Below are 19549 nucleotides of genomic sequence, written 5' to 3'. Positions count from 1 at the left end.
AGTGGCACCATCTTGGCTCACTGCAAGGTCTGCCTCCCGGGTTCATGCCATTCTCCTACCTCAGCCTCCCAAGTAGCTGGGACCACAGGCGCCCGCCACCACGCCCGGCTAATTTTTTGTATTTTTAGTAGAGATGAGGTTTCACCATGTTAGACAGAATGGTCTCGATCTCCTGACCTTGTGATCCGCCCGCCTCGGCCTCCCAAAGTGCTGGGATTACAGGCGTGAGCCACTGTGCCCGGCCAAGTATACTAACATTTTTGTACGTGGAAAGACACAAACTAAGAATGGAGTCAACAGAGAGAATATGAACTGAGAGAGAAAACGGGTCTTGCATTAAATCAGGCCAAAAAGCAACCCAAACTACTATGGGACTTTTCAGTTATGTGGGCTAATACATTCACTTTTTGCTTAAGACAATTTGGATGAAATTTTCTTTCACTTATAACCCCAAAGATTCTACTGACTTTTAACCTACTTTGAAAGGGTAGTTGAGAAGATTAAATAAAGTAAGACATGTCAAGCACTAACTTTGACTAGAAACAAACATAACAACAGGCTGGGTGTGGTGGCTCACACCTGTAATCCCACACTTTGGGAGGCTGAAGCGGGCAGATCACCTGAGGTCAGGAGTTCAAGACCAGCCTGACCAACATGGTGAAATCCTGTCTCTACTAAAGCTACAAAAATTAGCCAGGCGCAGTGGCAGGCGCCTGTAATCCCAGCTACTTGGGAGGCTGAGGCAAGAGAATCGCTTGAACCCGGGAGGCGGAGGTGGCAGTGAGCTGAGATTGTGCCATTGCACTCCAGACTGGGTGACAGGGCAAGACTCCGTCTTGAAAAAAAAAAAAAAAACCCAATAATACTGTCTTTCTACTTCCAGAACTATAAGCACACCCTTTGACTTACAAGGGATGCTAGTTTGTTCCTGTCATTAATGTCAGACAACGCTGCTAGTATAAAATAGAAATAAATAGGTAATCTGATTTGTTGCCAAATAGTATTTTAACCATTTGGTTAATACAAGGGAGAAAGACAAGGAAATCCCTACAAAACTTTATTTTAGGTTTCTTTGGAAATATACTTCTGCCTGTGGAACAGTTTAATCTTTCTTAACTTTCGCCTTTCTTCAAGGTACCTTTCCCCATTCTTTGTTTCTTCACAAACATTATCTAATAGGACTCCCAGATCTATTTTGAATAATTTCCTGACTACTTCGCGCAGGCATGATTTCTTCTCCTGAAGTTTTTTTGCCATTACGGTCTCTGCTAGGCATCCGATACTCACATGCTGTCTTGTACTATTAGTAATACTAACATGTATGAATGCCTTATGTCTCCAGCAACACCAACTTTCTTGAGTAATTGAGTCTTTCTCTTTCTCACTGCACCTAACACAGTTATGGGCACTAGAATGTAAGCTCCCTAATTTAGAAATTTTTGTTCATTGGTGTATTTGCAGTGCCTCGAAAGTGGCCAGGACATAACAGGTAATCAATAAGCATCTGTGGGGCCGGGCGTAGTGGCTCACACCTGTAATCCCAGCACTTTGGGAGGCCAAGGTGGGCAGATCACTTGAGGTCAAGAGTTCAAGACCAGCCTGGCCAACACTGTGAAACTCCATCTCTACTAAAAATACAAAAATTAGCCAGGCATGGTAGCGCGCGCGTGTAGCCCAGCTACTCGGGAGACTGAATCCCGAGAATGGGTTGAGCTCAGGAGGTGAAGGTTGCAGTGAGCTGAGATCGTGCCACTGCACTCAGGCTTGGGTGATGGAGCGAGATTCCGACTTAAAAAAAAAGCACCTGTGGGATGCATGAGAATGAATGTTAGTTCTTTACAAATTCTTGTTGATTAACTGGATGACTGAGAAGCCTTCAGGGTAGATAGTTTTCCTTAAGAAGCCTCCAGTGAGTTTCTAGAACCTTCAGACCAGTTTTCAAAGTTTTAAGGACGAATGCTGGTTGCAGATGAGTTGGAACAAGGGTGACAGACCTGTGAATCTGAATACAAGGAGAACTCAGGACAAGGGAGCTTCCTTCTCTGACCACAGCTTCCTACCACAGTTCCCACTTCCCAGTTCTTAGTACCTCAAACACCAAAATTTAATAATTCACACAGTCGGCTACCCTTTTTTGGGCCATATTTGATTTTTTTTTTCTATCGAGCATTCTGTTGTCCCATACTTCATGATGCCTTGAGAAGTTATCATTGCTATGAGCTAAGTTCAGTTAATTCTGTGCTTTGACAACTACTATGTACCTCTATTTGATCTTTGGACTTTGGACTTTTTCACCCCAATTTATCACTGCTGGACTAATCTTTCTAGAATATCACTTTCATGATGCTACTACCCCTATTCAAAAGTCCTTAATGATTGCTATACATCACCTACTTAAAAGATTTAAATTTCTTAGCTTTGTGCCCACAGCTCTGTGACCAAGTCCCCAGTAATCTATCTTCCCTGTTATTATCCAGAACTCCAGAACAGAACTTATTAGTTTTAACTACTCAAATGTACTCATGTCCCCCGAAATCACCTTGTGTTTTTGTATCTTTGAATTTATTTTTGCTCATGTGATCTAAATATCCCAACTTCTCTAAGTCCCTCTTTTTAACGTCCAAATTACAATTCTGCAAGACCCCTCTTCTTTAAGTTACTTTTGGAATTTTTTTTTTAAATTTATTATTATTACACTTTAAGTTTTAGGGTACATGTGCACAATGTGCAGGTTAGTTACATATGTATACATGTGCCATGCTGGTGCGCTGCACCCACTAACTCGTCATCTAGCATTAGGTATATCTCCCAATGCTATCCCTCCTCCCTCCCCCGACCCCACAACAGTCCCCAGAGTGTGACGTTCCCCTTCCTGTGTCCATGTGTTCTCATTGTTCAATTCCCACCTATGAGTGAGAATATGTGTTGTTTGGTTTTTTGTTCTTGCGATAGTTTACTGAGAATGATGATTTCCAATTTCATCCATGTCCCTACAAAGGATGTGAACTCATCATTTTTTATGGCTGCATAGTATTCCATGGTGTATATGTGCCACATTTTCTTAATCCAGTCTATCATTGTTGGACATTTGGGTTGGTTCCAAGTCTTTGCTATTGTGAATAATGCCGCAATAAACATACGTGTGCATGTGTCTTTATAGCAGCATGATTTATAGTCCTTTGGGTATATACCCAGTAATGGGATGGCTGGGTCAAATGGTATTTCTAGTTCTAGATACTTTTGGAATTTTTGAAGAATGCTCTCAGAAAGTCTCAGAAAGCCATTCTGTGGTCACTTGTCACCATGGCCAGTTGTCTCACTCCAGACAACCCCTCTTCTCTCACTTGATCACAGTTTGCTTTTACAAAGCCGGCTTCTACAGGCTGCGGCTGCTGCTCTCTAGGGACAATTTTTGCCACAGGCATGTTCCTGGGCTGCATATCTAATCCCATGCTGGGCAGCTAAATCCAGACTACAGTATGAATCCAGACTATAATAGTTTGCAAAATTTAACAAAAGGTTGAAGTATAACTAGAGGGATGACTGTACAGTAAATTTAAGGTGGGCACGTAGGTATGAAGGCTGCTAGAGTCCACCAGCTCAGCCCCTGCAGAGGAGGCTTCCATGCTGATGATCTATAACTCTCAGCACCAACCTTTCCTCCTCCCTCGCTTTCCACAGTCTCCACAGTTGCACTTCAAAGGCCAGTTTCTCTCTACCAACAGTACTTAGTCAGAGAATAGGCATGTATTGTCTTTCAAGTTCTAGGCATTGTGGACACAAAGGTAAACAAAATGGACACAGTACTTGTTTTCATGAAAGATATTAAACAAATTATAACAAATAGCTGCGCAAATAGTTCCAAGTGTACAAATGCTGCCAAAGAAATCCCTGGAGTCCGTGCTCAGGACCTCTACGTTCTCTGGGGCCTCCAAAGAGGAAAAACCAATTTTCCCATCTCTTCAGTCAATTAATAATAATCTATACAAAAGCAATTCTGGCCCCAAGAAGACAGCTTTTTACATTATTATGCAGACAGTTAACTGTTTCTCTTTTTTTTTCTTCATATTTCCTCAGTAGAGAATGCAGCCAAAATTCATGAGCACTTAAACTATGTGCCTGGCATCATTCAAAGACCAACATATGTATTAATTAATACAATTTTCCAAAAAAGGGAACTTATGAGGTAGTCCTATTATTATTATTATTATTATTTATTTTTATTTTATTTTTTGAGATAGAGTCTCGCTCTCTCGCCTAGGCCGGAGTGCAGTGGCGCGATTCAGCTCACTGCAACCTCCGCCTGCCGGGTTCATGCCATTCTCCTGCCTCAGCCTCCTGAGTAGCTGGGACTACAGGCTCCCACCAGTACGCCCAGCTCATTTTTCTTTTTTTTTTTTTTTTTTTTTTTTTTTTGTTATTTTGTTGTAGAGATGGGGTTTCACTGTGTTAGCCAGGATGGTCTCGATCTCCTGGCCTCGTGATCCGCCTGCCTTGGCCTCCCAAAGTGCTGGGATTACAGGCGTTAGCCACCGTGCCCTGCGAGGTAGTCCTATTATTTTTTTCCATTTTATAGAAAAGACAATTAAGGCGCAGAGAGTTAAGTAACCAGCTCAAGGTCACACAGCAAGTAATGGCAAATTAAAAAATCCAGGCAACCTGACAGCCCAGCCCAAACTCTTTATCACTACTCTATTATGCCTTATAATACAGATAATTTGCATAATCACAAATGAGTCATCAAATGATTTTTCCAAAACAATGGAGCAATCTTTCCTCAAAGGTCCTATCTACCTCCACCTTTAGAGCGGAGAAAAAATAGTGGCAATTCCTCAGTATCACTTTCCCATCTTTCGCCTCTGGACTTTCATCCAAGGGCCAAGCCCAGAGTACCTCGCCACATCATGTGCTCCCTTCAACTGCTGTTCTCTTCCATTACTGATATCCCACCAGTCTTTCCATAGAAGCCAGACTAAGCCTATCTTAGTTCAGAGTGATCTCTTCTATCTCTGAATTCATGCAACAATCACTATTGGTAGTCACACTCTTAAAGATTACCTTCCTAAATAGGTTTATAGGGAGTGTATGTTTCCCCAAAGTAAACTGCCCAGTGCCTTGCACAGAATTGGTATTCAAAAAGAATTACTGATTGGCCACTTGATTGATCGAAAGGGTCTCCAGGTCATAGGGAACTGTGAGGTAAGCAGCAAAGCTGGTAGCAAACAGACATTTCAGTTCTTGATTTTATGTTTTTATGTAATTTAAAAAAATCTATGGGTATTATGAGGATATCTAGAAAGTAGTTATTCATTCAATAAACATTTAATATGCCAAGTCATTGTGTTAGGTATTAGAAGTAAAACATACTCTTTCTCCTGAGCTCTATACCCAAATTGCCAGCTGCATTCCAGATTCAAATCCAGGTTCAAGTCCAAGATTATCGTCTTTATCCCACAACACAGAAACACATCTTTCAAACTTGCTCCTCCTCAAACCTCAACATTTCTTACAGGCTTCCCATGACCCATGGGATATATGTCAATGATTTTTGCCATCAAAATAAACCAAAAACAATCTAGGTTATACATTCATTCTATGAATGAAATAAGGAACAGTACTAAGATAACCTGCTTCTCACTCTTTGAACGACTTACTAATGCCATCAGGCAACTTTCTCTGTTTACATGTAGCTCTTGTATTAGCCGTGGGACAGCTGCAGTTTTAATTTATTATGTGATACAAGAGTTTACAACCACTTTCAGAACCTTTTTTTTTTCTGAGACGGAGTCTTGCTCTGTTGCCAGAGCTAGAGTACAGTGGCACAGCCTCGGCTCACTGCAACCTCACTTCCCGGGTTCAAGTGATTCTCTTGCCTCAGCCTCCTGAGTAGCTGGGACTACAGGCACACACCACCACAGCCAGCTAATTTTTGTACTTTTGGTAGAGACGGGGTTTCACCATGTTGGCCAGGATGGTCTCGATCTCTTGACCTCGTGATCCGCCCGCCTTGGCCTCCCAAAGTGCTGAGATTACAGGCGTGAGCCACCGTGCCAGGCCCCAGAACGTTACTTCTTTACTGAGGCTTATAAGTGGAACAAATGAAGCAAAAGAATTGTTATGCTTTGCCTAGCTTTACAGATGTAAACGCTTGTGCAATGAAGAAATGTAATTAAATGAAACAAGTTAAATAAACTAACAATTCATATTAATGATCAGTGGTAGACATGTTTAGTTTTCTGCTACATTTTCAATCCATAATTAATTAGCTTATAAATTAAAATACATGGAAAATTGAGGATTCACTTGAATCACAATGCAACAAATATGAACTAGATTTCTAATTCCTTGTAACTTTCTGTAAAAATTCCACAACTTTTTTGGTATAGATTTTATTATGGATGAAATTTGATCCCCGGTTAGTATTCCACACAAATTTTTAAAAAGGCATCTTGGTGTTTGCTTTCTTCTGCTCTAAGTAGGCTCCTTACATTTTTCTTGAATTAATTTGCAAAGTATATGTTTATCTATAAGTTAGTATTAAGATAGAAAAATGATAAATACAAAATAGTAGAGGTACATAATCTGAAAGAACATTAAGACATGTCTCCCACACCATAACAGTGGTATAAAACATGAAGGTGACGCCTGATAGGATCCACAATAAAGTAAGAAAATGTCTGTTCATGATTCTTTGCTGAAGGATAGCACATACCAGCAGAATCCTGAAAAAGACAAACCTAAATTATTATTATTTTATTTTATTTATGTATTTATATATTTATTATTATTATTTTTTGAGACAGAGTCTTGCTCCGTCGCCCAGGCTGGAGTGCAGTGGCGCGATCTCGGCTCACTGCAACCTCTGCCGCACGGGTTCAAGTGATTCTCCTGCTTCAGCTTCCCGAGTAGCTGGGATTACAGGCATGTGCCACCATGCCCAGCTAATTTTTGTGTTTTTAGTAGAGACAGGGTTTCAGCATCTTAGCCAGGCTAGTCTTGAACTCCTGACTTTGTGATCCACCTGTCTCGGCCTCCCAAAAGGCTGGGATTACAGGCTTGAGACACAGCACCCGGCCAATCCTAAATTAGTTAGTATACAACTACATTTAAGTGATAATCAATATATTTGCCTATTATGTATTTTCTGTCAAAACAGGAAACATGGATAAAATCTTTGACAATAAATTGGCAGTTAATTAATGATTTAAAATATTTATGGACAGCACAGTCTACTATGATAGGAATACATATGTACTATACTTACATGCATAATTTTTGTCTTTAAGGAATTTATAGTCCAAAGACAAATCCCATCATTTTAAAAAAAGTGCTTTTAAAGTGCTAATATTGCAACAATTTTATATTTAGCAATTTTCTATCTTTGTTTTCTCTTTTTTTTTTTAAATTTTTTTTGGAGTTGGAGTCTTACTCTTTTGCCCAGTCTGGAGTACAGTATTGGTACCACCACAGCTCACTGCAACTTTTGCTTCCTGGGTTCAAGCAATTCTCATACCTCAGGCTCCCAAGTAGCTGGGATTACAGGCGTCTCCCACCACACCCGGCTAATTTTTTGTATTTTTTGTAGAGATGGGGTTTTACCATGTTGGCCAGGCTGGTTTTGAACTCCCGACCTCAAGTGATCTGCCCTCTCAAAGTGCTGGGATTACAGGCATGAGCCACTGCACGGGGTGGGGACTATGTTTCTTTTGTTTATCACTGTGACTTAGCCCAGTACAATAGCTGATACACAGTATATATTTAATAAATACTTGTTAAGTGATTGAATGAAGATACTTAGAAACTGCTTCGAATGTAATAATATCTTTTGTATAATACTGAAATTCAAGTACCAGATTCTATGTATAAAGACACATTTATGGCATTCTTTTTTTTTTTTTTTTTTAGATGGAGTCTCGCTCTGTTGCCCAGTCTGGAGTGCAGTGGCATGATCTCGGCTCACTGCAACCTCCGCCTCCCAGGTTCAAGCAATTCTCCTGCCTCAGCCTCCCCAAAGCTGGGACTACAGGCGCGTGCCACCATGCCCGGCTAATTTTTTGTATTTTTAGTAGAGACGGGGTTTCACAGTGTTAGCCAGGATGGTCTCGATCTCCTGAGCTCGTGATCTGCCTGCCTCGGCCCCCTAAAATGGGATTACAGGCGTGAGCCACCGGGCCCGGCGACATTTGTGGCATTCTTATTTATCTGCCCTATAAATGATGGTTTGACAGACTAAGAGAACTGTGTTCTACTCTATCTGAGTCACAGATTTAGCTCTAAAATAAGTAGGCAATGTTATTAGATACAGATGACAGAAAGGAAGCCAGGGAAAAAAGTTCAAATTGTTCTCCAAACAAAAGCATACTCTATCAACTTTTAATTTTAACAAAACTCTAAATAACATTGTCTTTTCTCCTAGGCATAACATTGTCCTGATTGTTAACTCCAGTTGTAACAACTCTATTAATAAAAAGTAATTAAATTCTTTGGTTGCAAAAGTTCTCTCACACTTACATAAGCTGAAACTTTAAAGACAGAAGAGGTAATCTGTATTTTCTTGGTTTGAGGATTCTTTCGAACACTAAAAAAAGGAAGAAAAGGTGCTTTTAACATATAATAGGCATTGGCATATACATTTAAGTAATGATCCCTTTTAGTATTTAAGTGTTCTTATTCATATAGAACATGGAAATACATACTATCCAACTAAGTGGTTTGAAAAAATGGCATCTGAGGCTTCATTCAAGAATGGGCAAGGTCAACTGAATTGAAATAGCAGAAAATTGAATCTTACAGTTAGAAGGTTTAAGGTCAGTCTGAGACTCAGATGATGAAATTACCTTCCCAGGCTACAGAGACAATTATTGGATGAATAGGGATTTGTAAAAATCAGACTGAAGTGTAAACAGCCATACGGGGTAGATAAAAGCATGATAGACTGAAGACTTAAACAATGTAAATACAAATGCTAGTTCTTTCACTTTGAGTAGGATTAACCTTTCTGAGACTCAATTTTCTCATATGTAAATTGGGAATAATATGTTCCTTTTAGTATATGAAAATCAAATGAGATAATGTATATAAAAACTATTTGTGGGCCGGTCGCGGTGGCTCATGGCTGTAATCTCAGCACTTTGGGAGGCCTAGGCAGGCAGATCACCTGAGGTCGGGAGTTCGAGACCAGCCTGACCAACATGGAGAAACCCTGTCTCTACTAAAAATACAAAAACATAGCCTGTAATCCCAGGTACTCGGGAGGCTGAGGCAGAAGAATCGCTTGAACCTGGGAGGCGGAGGTTGCGATGAGCCAAGATTGCACCATTGCACTCCAGTCTGGGCAACAGGAGCGAAACTCCATCTCAAAAACAAACAAACAAACAAACAAATCCCAAAAAACCCCAAACAACTATTTGTTAAATTATATATTGCTAAGTTATATCATATTAAAAATAATTTTTTTCAGTAGTTTTCTTTCAGTTACTCTCCCCACAAAAGATTTCCTATGGCAATATGTAGTGAGAAAGCAAACTAAGGATTGAGAAAATAAGCTACAGACATATATTTATAATTTGTTACATATATATAAATAAATATACACACACTTTATATTTATAATGCCTTACAGTTTGTAAAACATTTTTTACACAATTTTTAACTTTTTATTATTTTTTATTTTTGTAGAGACAAAGTCTTGCTATATTGCCCAAGCTGGTCTTGAAACCCTGGCCTCAAGAGATCCTTCTGCTTTGGCCTCCCAAAGTCCTGGGATTACAGGTGATGGCCACTGCACCCTGCCTCCAAAATACCCTTATATACATGACCTCATTTAAAGATCACACAACTCATTGAGGTAGGCATTATTTTGTCAATTTTATGGACAATATAACTAAAGAAGCTAAATGCTATAATTAAGATAAGCTAAATAAAAGTGGTATTTCTGGGAATAGAATACAGGTGACTCAGAGTCCAGTCATCTTTCTGTTACACCTCAGCTGCTCATCCCAGACCTATACACTCTATAAATATTTAATACATAGGTATCAAAGGTATTATTAATGTGTGACATGTATAGGTAAAATTTAAAGAAAGATACCCTCTTCTCTACTTTTTTAGGTGTAAGTATTGCTTCTCCATCTACTACATATGTAAAAGTAATTGGAAGAGGGAGAGAAGAAAGAAGAGGAGGAGGAAAAAGGAAGACTCAGTTTGAGCGGTGTGTGTGTATGTATGGTTGAGCTTGTGTACCTTTTGGGGATGACCAGCCATAGCCATTTCAGGGTTCAACAATCTTAGGTGGTTTTCATCTCTACTAGATATTTCATTTAGACTTAAACCCAGGATTAAATTGATTTCCAAATATTTCTATGACATAGGTCAAGTTCATTTTCTTTTGATTTCTCTATTGCTTAACATACTGCTTAAAAGTTGAATACTACTTTTAAGATTTTGTGCTTACCCAAGGGATGACTATAACCACTATATATAAAATACTTTGCATACACCTATATAATCACCTAGGTCAATATAAATAACATATCTATGGTTATATCTAATTCTAAGTATTGATCTGTGGGTGGTTATATGGTATAAACATACATAAAGATTCACCAAATTGTATGTATATTTATGATTTATTCATTTTACTATACATAAATTATTTCCGTTTAAAAATCTGAGGAAAGAAAAAACTTTGTAAAAGTGTTCATCAAATCAGTTTAGAGGAAAATTTAGTATTTGATATCAGAACAATCACTTAACACATATAAACATGTACCACAAGTATATCGGCCGGGCACGGTGGCTCACACCTGTAATCCCAGCACTTTGGGTAGCCGAGGTGGGCAGATTGCCTGAGGTTAGGAGTTCTAGACCAGCCTGGCCAACATGGTGAAACCCCGCCTCTACAAAAAATACAAAAATTAGCTGGGCCATGGTGGCATGCGCCTGTAGTCCCAGTTACTGGGGAAGCTGAGGCACGAGAATTGCTTGAACTCGGTAGGCGGAGGTTGCAGTGAGCCGAGATTGCACCACTGCATTCCAGCCTGGGCGATAGAGTGAGACTCCATCTCAAAAAAATAAAAAAAAACAAAACAAAAACAAGTAATTGTTTTAGAAAGAAACCACCATTTGTACATTATTAGACGTTAGTTTCTAATAGAAAGAAATCATATTATTCTGTTGCCTCTGATCCTACATTAGTATTACTTTAAAATATCTCTAAAATAATTTGTCTAATTTTTTATAGGCCTAGCAAGAAAGTACAGTTATCATCTGTCCTATATCTCTTAAGAAAAAAGGAAAAGGAAATATAAAGTGATATTGATTAGTGCTCTATGGTGTTCTACTAATAATTGCATTATATCAGATCTTTATCCATCACTAACTCCATCCTCTGATAACCATGGTTTTTAAGGATAAAGAAACATAATTTCCACATAATATTTTTTAAAAGTGTAATTATATTAATGGTTTGGACATAATATAGTTGTTTCTTGTCAATGTCATTTGCGATTATTTCTGAGGATCAGTCCCATATTGACTCTAAACTCTGGGGTGTCCAGACTATTCTAAGTAACTCTGCACATTTTAAAAAACAAGGACCTGACTGGGCGCGGCGGCTTACACCTGTAATCCCAGCACTTTGGGAGGCTGAGGCAGGTGAATCACCTGAGTCCAGAAGTTTGAGACCAGCCTGGGTAATATGGTGAAACCCTGTCTCTACAAAAAATATGAAAAACTTAGCCAGGTGTAGTGGTGTGTGCTTGTGATCCCAGCTATTCGGGAGGCTAAGGTGGGAGGACTACGTGAGCCCAGGAGGCAGACGTTGCAGTGAGTCGAGATTGTGCCACTGTACTTCAGCCTGGGCAACAGAGTGAGACCCTGTCTCAAAAAAAATAAAAAGATAAAAAATAAATAAAATAGGCCAGGTGCAGTGGCTCACGCCTGTGATCCCAGAACTTTGGGAGGCTGAGGCGGGCAGATCACCCGAGGTCAGGTGTTTGAGACCAGCCTGGCCAAAATGATAAAACCCCGTCTCTATGAAAAATAAAGAAATTAGCCAGGCATGGTGGCTTGTGCCTATAATCCCAGCTACTTGGGAGACTGAAGCAGGAGAATCCCTTGAACCCAGGAGGTGGAGGTTGCAGTGAGCTGAGATCGCGCCACTGCACTCCAGCCTGGCCTGGGTGACACGGTGAGACTCCGTCTCAAAAAATAAATGATTAAAATTTAAAAAATAAAAAAGGTGTGTTTTATAGGACCTGTTATAATGGATGAGGAAGAAAATATTTTAATAACATTTTTACCCTTTTGTTTGAGTTAGAGACTCCTAAAATCACACGCTGTAGTGTGCTCCCAACATGTACAAACATAAGGGATGGACTGTGCTAGAATGGATTAGCAATAATATTTATCTGCAAGGGCAGGTTAGACACTGTAAAGCAGTCATACTTTTTCTTAGCATCCAAAAATGTAGAAGAGAATCACAGGTGAGAATCTGGAGAAGGGAATGTTGGGAAAAATAGCAGTTTCTTCAATGTGTAGGTTCTAAACTTATTTCTACTTCAAATATCTCCAACACAATCTCCTCCTCCACAGCACACAGTAGTGAGGAATTCCACAGGTTCATGTGGCGGATGGGGTACAACGCGTTGTGGTAGTAGTGGTAGTAGTATGTGTGTACGTGCATGAGTGCGTGTGTGTGTGTGTGTATGTGTAGGGTATACAGAGAAGTATCTTCAGGGAGTGCTAGAAGCAGTCTAGCAGGTTTACATGAACTTCAAATAATTAGGACAGTATGTTTGATATATTAATAGGTATGTGTATGCTTTTTCTGAAATTCTGTTTCTAACATATCTTCTTCCAATAATCTGTATGTGTTGACAATAACTTGTTCATTAAAATCACAGAGAGATTATAGAAACATTTTTCTGTTTTTAAAACCATAAAATAAATTAATTGCATAACTAAATTATGCAGTTTGCTGTATAGCTATATGACACATGGAATGGATATGAGAATTAAGGTGTTGAGTATAAGTAAAGTAACAATTATGAGTCCAATGAGAAGCTAATTCTTGTTTTCTCCTATTAAAGTAAAATTATATAACTAACTTTTAAGATCTTTTGCTTTCTATTGTTTTGCCTATTAAGATGATCCAATATCTTCATAACTGAAAAACCCAACCAAAGAACATTCATTTCAGTTAAAAGAAAGGTACAAATAAGAAATTTGTAAGGTTTTAATTCTCATTTGATCTTCAAAAAGAAAAATGCTACTAGAATACTTCAAACTGCATAAGCACTGGGATTAATTTGAAAAGGTAAAGATTACACCTACGTGAAAATTCTTCCACTTCTTTGGAACAAAGGTAATAATTGTTTTTACTATTAGTTAAGCAAACTCAAACATCTGGAGGGATCTCTTGTGTTCCCTTCAGATTTAAAAGGAGGCTTGGTAAGAAAAAAAGAAGGCTTGGAAGATGGCAGTTTGTAACAGGTCTGAATGAGGAAAAAAGCAGAAGAGCTAGATGAAGAATGAGGGGACTGAGAACTAAATGAGAGAGAAATCCAGAAATCTTTCTATTCTGGAAGAGAGGGGGAAGGTTATGAGAGGGGGGTAAGGGTAGAGCTTTTTATATGCTTTGGTTGTTAATATAACCACTGAATGATGTTGTGTAATTCCATCAAGGTTAAGCAAATAATTTATTCTATTAACTAGAGATTTACATATTGTGATCTAGCAACATTACCTCACCAGATCCTTATAGATAAGCTTTGTTGTTTCCAGATATGGGCTAATCACATCCTCATATTGACAAAGGGCTCCACCAAGGCAAAGATGTTTGAAAAGACAAAACAGGAACTCTTCTCTATCTGGTTGGCTGAATATTTCATATTTTTCTGAGTCTTCCACTAGCAAAACCTAAGACGATAAAATTCATCTTAATGTAACATAACTCAAGATTTTTACTTTTGTTTTCAAAGGTTTCATTTTATAGACTTAAAAATAATCTTACACCTATTTTAAGAACCAATCTTGAGTCAACTGAAGAGAGTAACCTGTAATCTGCATTTATTTGCCTCTATTTTATCATTAGGAACTGACATTCAATGAAAAGAACAAATCAAAATTTAAAACACAGTGGCTAAGTCTTCCCTCCTTCCACTTTATTTCTTTTTTCTAGTTTATATTTTTAGTAATTGTTTTAGTGTTATGTCACCTCAAATCTTATTTGGAAATAAATAGGAGCATAAATAAATGAGGACACTTCTCCATCCCATAAGGCCTCCGTCTTGGCTTCTACCCAGAGACTAAACGGTCATTTTCTAAGCTCTCTCCTCTTATGGATTTTGGATCACGATTGTTCTTACTCCCACAAGTACTCCTTTTTGAACCATTCAGGTGCTGGAGCCTCATATCCAGCTCTCGCTTTCCTGCTCTCATCTAGTAAGATCACTTCACACATCACCTATTGACACTGACTCTTGCTCTTCTGAGGTCTTGCTACCTCATACAGAAAGCAGAAAACTAGATCCGATGTAGGGGATTTTCTTATGCCATTGGGAAATACAGACCACTGATTCATTTATCGATTGTAGTGGGTATAAAAAGGTGACCAATGTAAGATATAACATATATTTTTTCCACTGGATTGTTTATATCCTACCTACTTTATTTTTTCTTTTTTTAGAGATGGAGTCTCACTATGTTGCTCAGGCTGGTGTCAAACTCCTGGGCTCAAGTGACCTTCTTGCCTCAGCCTCCCTATTTTAAAAATAGAATGTGAAGGCTGGGCATGGTGGTTTGTGCCTATAATCTCAGCACTTTGGGAGGCCATGGCAGGAGGATCGCTTGAGGCCAGGAGCTTGAGGCCAGCCTGAGCAACACAGTGAGACCTCATCTCTACTAAAACCACCCCCCAAAATAAGCTGGACGTGGTGGTGAATGCCTGTAGCCCTAGTGAATCAGGAGGTTGAGGTGGGAGGATTGCTTGAGCTCAGAAGATGATTGAAGCTGCAGCGAACTGTGACTGCACCACTGCACTCCAGCCTGGGTGACAGAGGAAAAAAAAAAAAAGAATGTGAAATAACTAAAAGTAAAATATAGATATAATAAGACCCAAATAATAAAGGACAAAAAAACTATGGTCAAGAAATAAAGTGGAAAAAAAAATACATATAAACAACTTTACATGGGAGGGATGTCAAGATGGTTGACTAGAAGCATCTGGCACTCACTTCCTGAACAAAGTAGAACCAAAATAGCAAGTAGATAATCACACTTCAAAGAGGGCATCTAAGAGAGAATACTGGAATTCAACAGAGAGGTGACAGGAAACACACAAGCACAGAAGGAGCTGGGATTGGCTGGGAGTCTGGAGAGGCTTCCCAATGCAGGAAAATGGTAAGTGAAAGACCCCAGCAGTCTACATTTCTACTGTGGACTCCTGCAATCCTCACCATGGGAGAGCTCCTCAACCCTCATGGGCCCAGAGACTAGTAATAGGCAGCTGCCTGGAGACCACACAATGGCACTGCTCCAGAGAGGAACTCATGCTGGCTCCCACCACCCCTCCCCCACCTCCAAGTCCTAAGCAGCTGCAGGATGGCACCATTTTGAGAATCCAACTCCTACCGGACTGCATCCTTCCTTGGGGCCCAAAAGTCCCTGCATCTCCACATCCCTAGAGCCCCAATGACATCCCCAAATGTCCACATGGACTCTGCATGGTGTCTTGTACCCCAGGGAATGAGTGACGCAGTACACTGAGGAGGCTGCCCTTGAGACAAAGGGAGACAAAGTATGTGTTCCCCAGAGCCTGAAACCCACTTACCTGGGGCCGCTGTCACTGATAGCAACCTTGCCACCACCAGCAGGAGGTCTACCACGCACTTGCATGTTCCCTGAAGATGGGATCTCCCACCCACAGCTGAGGGGCTGAAACATATGCCACTGGCAGCAACCTTGTACCCCCCATTCCCTTGGTAGCAGGGCCACTACACACTTGCATGTGCCCTGAAGACTGGCTCTCCCTACTGTTGCTGCCACTACTGCCATGGCCACTGTTGCTGGGGGCTGAAATGTGTGCTCTCCAGAACCCAAGAGCCGCCTGCCAGTGGCTGCAGCCACTGACAGCAACCCCACCCCACCCCATGCAGCAGGGCCACAGCTCCCTTGCACATGCCCTCAGGATGAGCTTTCTCCACTCATTGCCCATGCTGCTTCCATCTGAGCACTTTGCTAGGGGGCTTGAGGATCACCCTGCCCAACTCACAAGAGGATCCGCCTGAATGTACCACTGGAGGACCTGAGGACAGCCCCTCTGGCCTGGCACTGTCCCCCATCCAGTGCCCAAGCACACCCAGGACTCTGGGGTTTGCCCCGTCCCCTCCACCACTGCTGACATCTGGGTGCTCCTCTTGGGGATCTGAGCACAGGCCTACTCAACTGGCTACCACCATAGCAGCTGGAACCCACCCATACTTGCTCCCTGGGGGCCTGGGGATTGGCCTGCCTAGCACATCACAGCCACCACTAATATAAGTGTGTATTGCTTGGGAACCCAAAAGTTGTCCCACCACTGCTACAGCCATCATCCATTTAATGCACACTGCCTGAGGACCCAAACACACATCCACACACCCAGCCCACCACTAACACTGCTGGCACATGAGCAAGCTGCGTGGAGGCCCAAGAATCAGCCTGCTTGGACCTGCTAACACCACTGCCTGCCTACACTGCTCAGGGGCCCAAGGACAGGTGTGCTTTGGCCAGCTGCTGCCACTACTGGGGCCCAAAAACTGGCCTACCTGTCCCCAGCAAAACCTCACCCCAGCCTCTACTAACAATTGCAACCTAAGCCACTGAGGAAAACACAGACACCAGTGATGCCAAGTACACCTGAATAAATCATATGGAGACTACACTACTGCATACACCCAGAATCAAAACCAAAATGCTCTACCCAACGAACACCGTAAGTACATCTTCGGGAAAAAGTCTTCTCCTAAAAAAGCCAATCCAATAAATTCAAAGAAGTGACTAGATGCACAGATATTAATATAAGGACACAAGAAATATGAAAAAGGAAGAAAAGATGACACCTCCAAAGGAACACAATAATTCTCTAGCAACAGATTTAATAAAAAATAAATTTATGAGCTATAAGAAAAAAATTCAAAATAATGATATGGCCAGGCATGGTACCTCACACCTGTAATCCCAAAACTTTGGGAGGCTGAGGTGGGTGGATCACTTGAGCCCAAGAGTTTGAGACCAGCCTGGGCAACATGGTGAAACCCTGTCTCTAGTCCTAAAAAAAAAAATTCTCTCAAAAAATTAATGATATTAAAGAAGCTCAGTGAGATACAAGAAAGCACAGATAAAGGATACAAAGAAATCAGAAAAACAATTCAGGATATGAATGAGAAATTCACCAAAAAGATGGATATCATTAAAAAGCACCAAACAGAAATCCTAGAACTGAATAATTCAATGAATGAAATAAAAGATTCAATTGAGAGTTTCAACAATAGACTACATAAAGCCAAAGAAAGAGTTTCAGAACTTGAAGACAGGTCTTTTGAAGTAACCCAGTCAGACAAAAAAAAAAGAGAAAAAGAATGAACAAAGCCTACATTACATATAGGATACCATAAAGCAAACACAGTTTTGAATTATGGGTGTTCCAGAAGGTGAAGAGAAGCCCAAAGGCATAAAAAAAATCTATTTAACAAAATAATAGCTGAAAACTTTTCAATTCTAACAAGAGATTTAGACGACCAGATACAGGAACCTTAAAGATCCCCAAATAAGTACAACCCAAAAAGGTCTTCTTGAAGGCACATTATCATCAAACCATCAAAAGTTAAAGAAAAAGAATTCTAAAAACAGCAAGAGAAAGAGAATTCTAAAAACAGCAAGAGAAAAGTGTCTAGCCACATATAAGGAAACCCTCAATAGACTCACAATGGATTTCTCAGAAGAAACCTTACAGGCCAGTAGAGGATGGGATGATTCAAAGTGCTGAGAGAGAAAACAAAGAAAAAAACTAGCAGCCAAAAATACTATACCCAGCAAAATTATCCTTCATAAATAAAAGAGAAAGTATTTCCTAGACAAGCCAAAATGGAAGGAATTCATCATCACTAGGCCTGCCCTGTAAGAAATGGTTAAGGGAGACCTATACCTGAAAGCAAAATTTGAAAACACAGAAAGGATTCAAATATTGCCACTAAAGAAAACCACCAAACCCCAAAGATAAACAAAAATAGAAAAAGGAACAAAAGATATACAAAATAACCAAAAAAATTAACAAAATGACAGAAGTATGTCCTCACATATCAATAATAACCTTGAATATAAACAGACTAAATTTTTCACTTAAAATGTGTAAACTGGCTGAGTGGATTAAAAAACAACAACAACACATGATCCAACTAACTATATGTTGCCCATAGCAAACTCACTTGACCTGTAAATAAAACAGTAAAAAGGGACTAAGAAACTCATTATATAATGCTAATGGGGTCAATTCAGGCAGAGGATATACTATTCTAAATATATATGCATCCAACACCAGCAGACATAAATATATAAAGCAAATATTATTAGAGCTAACAGAAGAGACAGACTCTAATACAGTAATAGTTGGGAAATTCAACACCCCACTCTCCACATTAGCCAGATCATCTAGACAGAAAATTAATAAAGAAACACTGGATTTAAACTGCACTCTAGACCAAATAGACATCTACAGAACATTTCATCCAACAGTTACAGAATATCTATTCTCATCAGCACATGGAACATTCTTCAGGATAGACCATATGCTGAGTCACAAAACAAGTCTCAACACACTTAAAAAATTGAAAACATACCAAGTATCTTCTCATACTGCAATGGAATAAAACTAGAAATCAATAACAAAAGAAATTTTGGAAACTATACAAATACATGAGAACCAACAACACGTATTCCTGAATGACCAGTGAGTAAATGAACAAATTCAGAAGAACAATTTAAACTTTCTTGAACAAATAAAAATGGAAATATAATATACCCATGCCTATGGAATATAGCAAAATTAGTGCTAAAAGAGAAGTTTACAGCAAAAAATGCCTACATCAAAAAAGTACTAAGACTTCAAATAATCTAATGATGCACCTCAAGAAACTAAAAAAGCAAGAACAAACCTAAGTTAGTATAAGGAAATAAATACCAGAGCACAAATAAACAAAATAGAGACAAAAATAAATAAATAAACAAACAAACAGGAACTCCAGATGGAGAAAGGCTATCAAAATTGTACATTACACTTAACACTACCATACAAGGGTAAAAGGAAAATACAATGAATTATACAACAATCACTGTCTAGTAGCAAGTGCACTTAATTATGAAAATTGATTAAGCTCATTCACAGTCTCTACAGAAAACTTACCAACAGGTCTTTGCATATAAGAAGTATTTAAAAAACTCAACTCTATGGTGTTGTCCATACACAGTTTATTTATAATGCCTTGATGAAAACCAAGGTTAGGTATGTCTA

At 39.6% G+C, this 19549-nt stretch overlaps 1 protein-coding gene across 9 annotated transcripts in view, besides 1 other annotated feature; it reads right to left on the bottom strand.

The window, feature by feature from the left end:
- Positions 3511–4012: an enhancer, noted in NCBI's record as "NANOG hESC enhancer chr11:101956512-101957013 (GRCh37/hg19 assembly coordinates)". NCBI's record gives its function as "activates a minimal SCP1, AML or CMV promoter by ChIP-STARR-seq in naive H9 embryonic stem cells {active_cell/tissue: H9 hESC(naive)}" and the evidence as "EXISTENCE:reporter gene assay evidence [ECO:0000049][PMID:30033119]".
- CFAP300 (cilia and flagella associated protein 300) overlaps positions 5239–19549 on the bottom strand; it is a 37118-nt gene continuing 22807 nt past the window's right edge. For 2 of the 9 annotated variants that reach the window (NM_001441268.1, NM_001195005.2), the window contains one exon: positions 13682–13920. In NM_001441268.1, the coding sequence (NP_001428197.1) occupies positions 13744–13920 (177 nt within the window). In that variant the 3' untranslated portion in view covers positions 13682–13743. Of the gene's footprint in view, positions 6723–8359; positions 8579–13681; positions 13921–19549 lie in introns of those variants that run through there. The other 7 variants (NM_032930.3, NM_001441267.1, NM_001441265.1 and 4 more) reach the window with 7 other exon arrangements.

Source organism: Homo sapiens, chromosome 11 (genome assembly GCF_000001405.40).
Source record: "Homo sapiens chromosome 11, GRCh38.p14 Primary Assembly".
Classification (NCBI taxonomy): domain Eukaryota; kingdom Metazoa; phylum Chordata; class Mammalia; order Primates; family Hominidae; genus Homo; species Homo sapiens.
Note: the sequence above shows the minus strand (reverse complement) of the source record. Positions and strands in the feature narration are given on the sequence as shown.